The 6415-nt window shown below is 42.9% G+C and overlaps 2 annotated features.

Moving 5' to 3' along the window:
- Window positions 1607-2806: an enhancer, noted in NCBI's record as "CDK7 strongly-dependent group 2 enhancer chr7:67378113-67379312 (GRCh37/hg19 assembly coordinates)". NCBI's record gives its function as "activates an origin of replication core promoter dependent on BRD2, BRD4, P300/CBP, MED14 and CDK7 cofactors, with strong dependence on CDK7, by STARR-seq in HCT116 cells {active_cell/tissue: HCT116}" and the evidence as "EXISTENCE:reporter gene assay evidence [ECO:0000049][PMID:35650434]".
- Window positions 5415-6130: an enhancer, noted in NCBI's record as "OCT4-NANOG hESC enhancer chr7:67381921-67382636 (GRCh37/hg19 assembly coordinates)". NCBI's record gives its function as "activates a minimal SCP1, AML or CMV promoter by ChIP-STARR-seq in primed H9 embryonic stem cells {active_cell/tissue: H9 hESC(primed)}" and the evidence as "EXISTENCE:reporter gene assay evidence [ECO:0000049][PMID:30033119]".

Raw genomic sequence — 6415 nt, forward strand, 5'->3', positions numbered from 1 at the left:
TGCCATGGTAGAAATTGACAGTACCTTAAGTCAGGTGCAGTACATGGCTTACTACTTTTTTATTTTTTATTTTTATTTTTATTTTTTGAGACAGAGTCTTGCTCTGTCACCCAGGCTGGAGTACGGTGGTGTGATCTCCACTCACTGCAACCTCCGCCTCCTGGGTTCAAGTGATTCTCCTGCCTCAGTCTCCTGAGTAGTTGGGATTACAGGTGCGTGCCACCACTCCTGGATAATTTTTTGTATTTTTAGTAGAGATGGAGTTTCCCCATGTTGGCCAGGTTGGTCTCGAACTCCTGAACTCATGACCCACCTGCCTCAACCTCCCAAAGTGCTGGGATTACAGATGAGAGCCACTGCACCTGGCTCAGGTTACTATTTTTAATGGCAAAAACAGTAATTACTTTTGCACCTACGTAATATTTTTTGGAGTTGTGACAAAGAGTGCATGACCATGGGATCCACTGCTTCTATCATAAATGATACAGCCCTAAAGCAGCCACTCTAATACAATACATAAATGATCTGTTAAAGTCTTGGTGAAGGTGCAGCTCAAGGGAAAAAAATCCTGTTGGGTTGGAGACTTGTCCTCCAGAATGCAGTATATGCAGTGAAGCCTATATGTGGTGCTACGTCCCCAAGAAACTCCAATGCCAGGGTCTAGGAACCAAGCAGTGAAGGTGGGTTTGGAGCCCCATGTGGTGACCCACGCCTGTAATCCCAGCACTTTGGGAGTCCGAGGCAGGCAGATCAAGAGATCAAGACCATCCTGGCCAAAAGGGTGAAATCCTGTCTGTACTAAAAAATACGAAAATTAGCTGGGCATGGTGGCACATGCCTGTAATCCCAGCTACTAGGGAGGCTGAGGCAGAAGAATCACTTAAACCTGGGAGGAGGAGGTTGCAGTGAGCTGAGATCACACCATTGCACTCCAGCCCGGGCAACAAGAGCAAAATTCTGTCTCAAAAACAAAACACAAAACAAAATGGGTTTAGATCCTCTCACTATCGCTCTTAATGACACATTTAAAATGTTTATGATTCTTCTTCCTGCAAACTTAGTCCTTGCTGGAATAGAAGTTCTGGTTTCTAAGGAGGAAATTCTTCCACTAGGGGTCACAGTAAGAATTCCACTAATGTTGAAACCACAGCTATCACCTGGGCATGCTGGGCTCTTCATGTGTGTGGACCAGGAGGCAAATAAAAAAATCTCAATTTTAGAAGAAATATTGTATTAATACTTTCCTGATTACCATGAGGACATGAGGCTATGGCTACACACTAGGAGGGCAGAAAATAAGCAGTAAGATTCCTCTTGGTGCTTCTATGCTCAGAGGTAGCTGGAAATGTACAATTGTAGCAAATCCAGTTCAGGAAGAGCAAAGCAAAGAAGGTCTCAGACCCCTTGCACAAAAAGGTTTTGTAGGTCATCCCATTTAGTAAGTATTCAGGACCTACTGAGGTGCTGGTCGAAGTGAAGAGGGTCTAAAAGAATGGTCGACTGAAGAGATAGATCTATTGCACTCTCAAGACCAGTTGCAATAGCAGGAATTGTAGCTTAGTGCATGAGCATGGGATCCACTAATCCATTAATCTATTAATCTATTATATTAAATGTTTTATACAGATTGCTGCCAGCTGCCTGCCACCTTGAAAAGGTCTGAGACAGACTGAACTTAGTGGTGAGCTTGAACAGTTCACAGTCATGCAACTATACTGGTTATTCCATGTGCCCCATGTTACATCCCCTTAGTTCACTTTTTGTCTGATTTGTTAATGTATAAATTGACAGTACTTTGAGTCAGGTGCACTACAGGAGTCTTGATTTTCCATCAAGGGCTTCTTTGATGTTGCAGCATGGGACCCATACAGGAATCCCACGGACACTTCCTCACGCATATTCTGGAGGTATGAAAACATTAACACCCCATGGGGCAATCCTTGACCAACTAAGAAGTGGATCAGTGAGTTAATGCTTTTATCTTCTGACTTTCAGGTGAACAGTCCTAAAGCTCATAGCCCAGCCCCAATTTCCGTTAGCAATGACTAGCTTGATAAATCATCCTTGTATTGATTTTGCTTCTGTATTAGATAGCTTTTGCTGTATAGCAAACCATTCCAAATCTTAGTTGCTTAAGATAACAACCATTTATTTGGCTCATAAATGTGTGGATCAGATAGATGAGCATTCTGCTTATCTATTCCAGACTTAGCTGATCTTAGCTGTGCTGACTCATGCATTCTGTGGGCAGGTGCTGAGTCAGATGGGCACAGGATAAGCTAGGGCAGCCTCTGTGGGGATGTCATTGTGGTTTCCCATTCTTCATCAGGGTAGCCTGGGCTTCCTCACATTGGAGGTTGCAGAGTCCCAAGAAAATAAAAGCAAGTGTGCAAAGCCTGTGGATGTCTAGGCTGAAACTGGAACAATGTCACTTCTGACACATTCTATTTGTCCCAGAAAATCACAAGTTTAGCACAGATTCAAATACACTCTATCTCTGGATGAAAAGAGCCACAAGGCTGCATTGCAGAACTTCTACACAGTGAAGGGAATAATGGCAACCATTTTTGCAAATATTCGGCTACACTTTCTATGACTGTGAGTGTGATGTGTCAACTTGGGTAGGTGATGGTACCCAGCTATTTAATCAAAGAGGAATCTAGGTGTTGCTGTGAAGGTATTTTGTAGACATGGTTAACATCTATAACCACCTCACTTTAAGTAAGGAGGATTACCCTTAGTAATGTGGCTTTGTCAGAGGTGTGTAAACCAGAGTAACTTCATCTTGAATAGGAGCTGGGTAAAATGAGGCTGAGATCTACTGGGCTGCATTCCCAGAAGGTAAAGTCATTCTAAGTCATAGGATGAGATAAGAGGTCAGCACAACATACAGGTCATAAAGACCTTGCTGATAAAACAGGTTGCAGTAAAGAAGTCGGCCAAAACCCACCAAAACCAAGATGCAGCAAGAGTGACCTCTGATCGTCCTCACTGCTACACTCCCACCAGCGCCATGACCGTTTACAAATGCCATGATAACATCAGGAAGTTACGTTATATGGTCTAAAAAGGGGAGGCATGAATAATCCACTCCTTGCTTAGCATATCTTCAAGAAATAACCATAAAAATGGACAACCAGTGACCCTTGGGGCTGCTCTGTTTATGGAGTAGTGATTCTTTATTCCTTTACATTCTTAATAAACTTGCCTTCACTTTACTCTATGGACTCACCCTGAATTCTTTCTTGCATGAGATCCAAGAACCCTCTCTTGGTGTCTGGATCGGGACCCCTTTCCTGTAACAGCTGTGCCTCATCACATCATTTGAAAGACCTTAAGAGTAAGAACTGAGATTTCTCAAAGAAGAAGAAATCCTGTCTCGAGGCCGCAGCATCAGTTCGCCCTTGAGTGTCCAGGCTGCTGGCCTGTCCTGTGGATTTCAGACTTGCCAGTTCCTATCATTGTGTAAGCCAATCCTTTAAAATAAATCTCTTAATATTTTATCAATAGATGTAAATAGATCTAATGTTTTATGGATAGTTTGATTGATTTTGTTTTTCTGGAATGCATCGGCTGATATACCTTCCTTCCCCATGTCCCTTTTCCAAGATCTTTCCTGTTCCCTGGGATGACTTCCCAAAATAAGCTGCCCACAATAAACCCGTGTCTGAGGTTCTGCTTTTTTGAGACAACTCAGCCTAAGCCGGTAGGTATTTCGACAAAAAAAAAAAGTCACTTTTGCTTTGTTTCAGGAAAAGTCTGTGATACGCCATTTGTGGCCTGTGAGGACTTGTTATTCAGAGAGAAGTTCAAAAATACTGAAACTGAATGTGAGAAATATATATGTACTTGAAGCTTTACTGGAAAATTAAAAATGCAAATGGAAGATGTCAGAGCCATGAGCTGGGAACGGTGTCACCAACATTTGTTACGATGGAAGATTATATTTATCTTTGAGGTCATTGGGATTCTCAGTTATATGGAAGGCTGGTAGGGAGGATTAACAGCAGTACATTCTGCTGAATGTCCCCTACATCCTTCCCCTGCAAATCTAAAATTGGACAACTTATCATCACCTCTAATTCTCCTATTCTGGTAACCAGCCACTGTCATTTCTTACCTGGATTGTCATAGCCTCCTAACCGATCTCTGTGATTCCACCCTCAGTCCCTTCCAGTCTATTCTTACCCTACAGGTCAGAGGGAACCCCGGTAAAATGCTAAGTCAGATCACACAATTCCTCAAGTCACAATCTCACCAAACTTCCATTGTTCTCGGGATAAAAATTGACACGGTAGTTTTCAAGGCTCAGCATGATCTGGCCCCGGTTTAACTCTCTGGTCTTGCGTCCTGTTATTTCCCTCCCTCACTTCAGCAACCCTGGTCTCATTGCTACTCCCCAAGCACTCTAGACATGCTCATGCCTTAAGACCATGCTGCCTACTCCTCCCAAACAGCTCTTCACCCAGGTGTCTATATGGCCTCCACACTCACATCTCCAAGGGACACCATCTGCATTGTAGCACAGACACACAACATGTTGGAGATTTGTTAGCCAATCCCATAACTTTCTTTTTCTTTTCTTTTATTGAGACAGGGACTCACTGTTGCACAGGCTGGAGTGCAGTGACAGGATCATAGCTGACTGCAGCCTTGAATTCTTGGGCTCAAATGATCCTCCCACCTCAGCCTCCCAAGTAGCTGGGACTACAGCTGTACACTACAACACCTGACTAATTTTTAACATTTATTTATAGCGATGGGGTCTCACTATGTTGCCCAGGCTGATCTCAAACTCCTGGCCTCAAGTGATCCTCCTGCCTTGGCCTCCTAAAGTACTGGGATTACAGGCATAAGACACCATGCCCAGCCTCCCTAACCTTCAAGTTGGGGAAAGGGAGGAACAGATAGGTTAAATGACTTCCCCAGGGTCTCTCATCTGATAGGAAAACTGGCAAAAGAAACCCTGTTTCACAGACCCTGTGTTGCAAGAAATGTTTCACAAAATAATTTCATTTAGAGAAAGAGGGTTTGGCAACTGATCATCCAGAGAACATTTTCATCTGGGTATCTTGGCATTGCTTGGTTCTATTAGAGAATTGTAACGTAGAGAATGATGAATGCATATTTATTCCCACACTGTGTGAGACACAGAGCTGGAAACCTTGCCCCCCATCCCCCAACCCCCACGTCAACCTCTGCAATCAACAAACTCAGCAGCACGAATCCCCATGTGAAATGACTAGGGAGAGAAGCTGATCCCAGCCTTGTACTTTGTCTCTGTCTCATATTCAATATTCCCTGGCAGGTGCGGAGAATGACTCATTCCCCCTACTCCTCTGAAAATGTCCCTTTCATGTTTCATAAACAACAGCTTTGCTGTGCCATTGTCTCTGTTAGTTATTTTCATAATTCATAATTATCTTCGTTCTTAAAATGTAGACGTACATTTAAAAGCATGATCCAATCCAGCTTGATTGCCGCCACATTGTGTTCAAAGTAATTACCATTCATTTGGCTTTTGAGGCCGTTGAATGAATTTTCCACATGAGATTCCTTAATTTGTACATATTTTATTGCTATAAAATAGGTATTGGCAAGCTGCCTAAACTGCAGCGAAGGCCTTTAATTCCTATCACTCTGTGATAAAACAAACTGAGTGCAAACTGAGAGTCTTAAGATAGAACACTTGAAATGGATTTGACTCCTTTTGCCAAACCAAGTTTCCCCAGGTGTGAGACACAGGTAAGATTAAGGTAGCTTAGTTCAGGCTGAGAGCTCAGAATTGTTTTAGCATTTGTATAAAAATGATAATGTCCCTCCACAATGGCAAACCTTTCTCTTTCCTTGATCTATTATTCCTTGGAGAAAGGATGTTTGGAGAGAAAATGTTATTAACATTTTTTCATGCATAGTGAGAGAAATCAAGTAAGGCGCAAAACAGAGCCAGGGAATTCTTGGTCACAGTAGAGACCTGGGCCAGGTGTTATGAGACCTGGCAGGGGGCGGGAGGGGGACAGTGTCCTGGAGGGAGCTCTGGAAAGCTGTGTGGCCTTTGGAAAGCCTTCTACCTCTCTGAATCCAATTTGCTCCCTTGTAAAATTAAGGGGTTAGGAGAAGTGATTCCTAAATTTAATTTGTAATTTGTTTTTCTGAGGTTATCGGTACCTTGGGTTTACTCAAGTTCTTTTCACTGAGGCTTTCTCTAGGGTTTTGTTTGTTTGCCTGTTTTGTTTTGTTTTGGTTTTGTATACATTGAAGGGGTGCAAGTGCAATTTTGTTGCGTGCAATATTGCACAGTAATGAAGTCTTGGCTTTTAGTGTGTCCATCACCCAAGTACCCAGTAATGTACATTGTATCTGTTAAGCAATTTCTCATCCCCCAGCCCCCACCCACCCTCCCACCTTTCAGAGT

The sequence above is a fragment of the Homo sapiens genome, chromosome 7, assembly GCF_000001405.40.
Source record: "Homo sapiens chromosome 7, GRCh38.p14 Primary Assembly".
Classification (NCBI taxonomy): domain Eukaryota; kingdom Metazoa; phylum Chordata; class Mammalia; order Primates; family Hominidae; genus Homo; species Homo sapiens.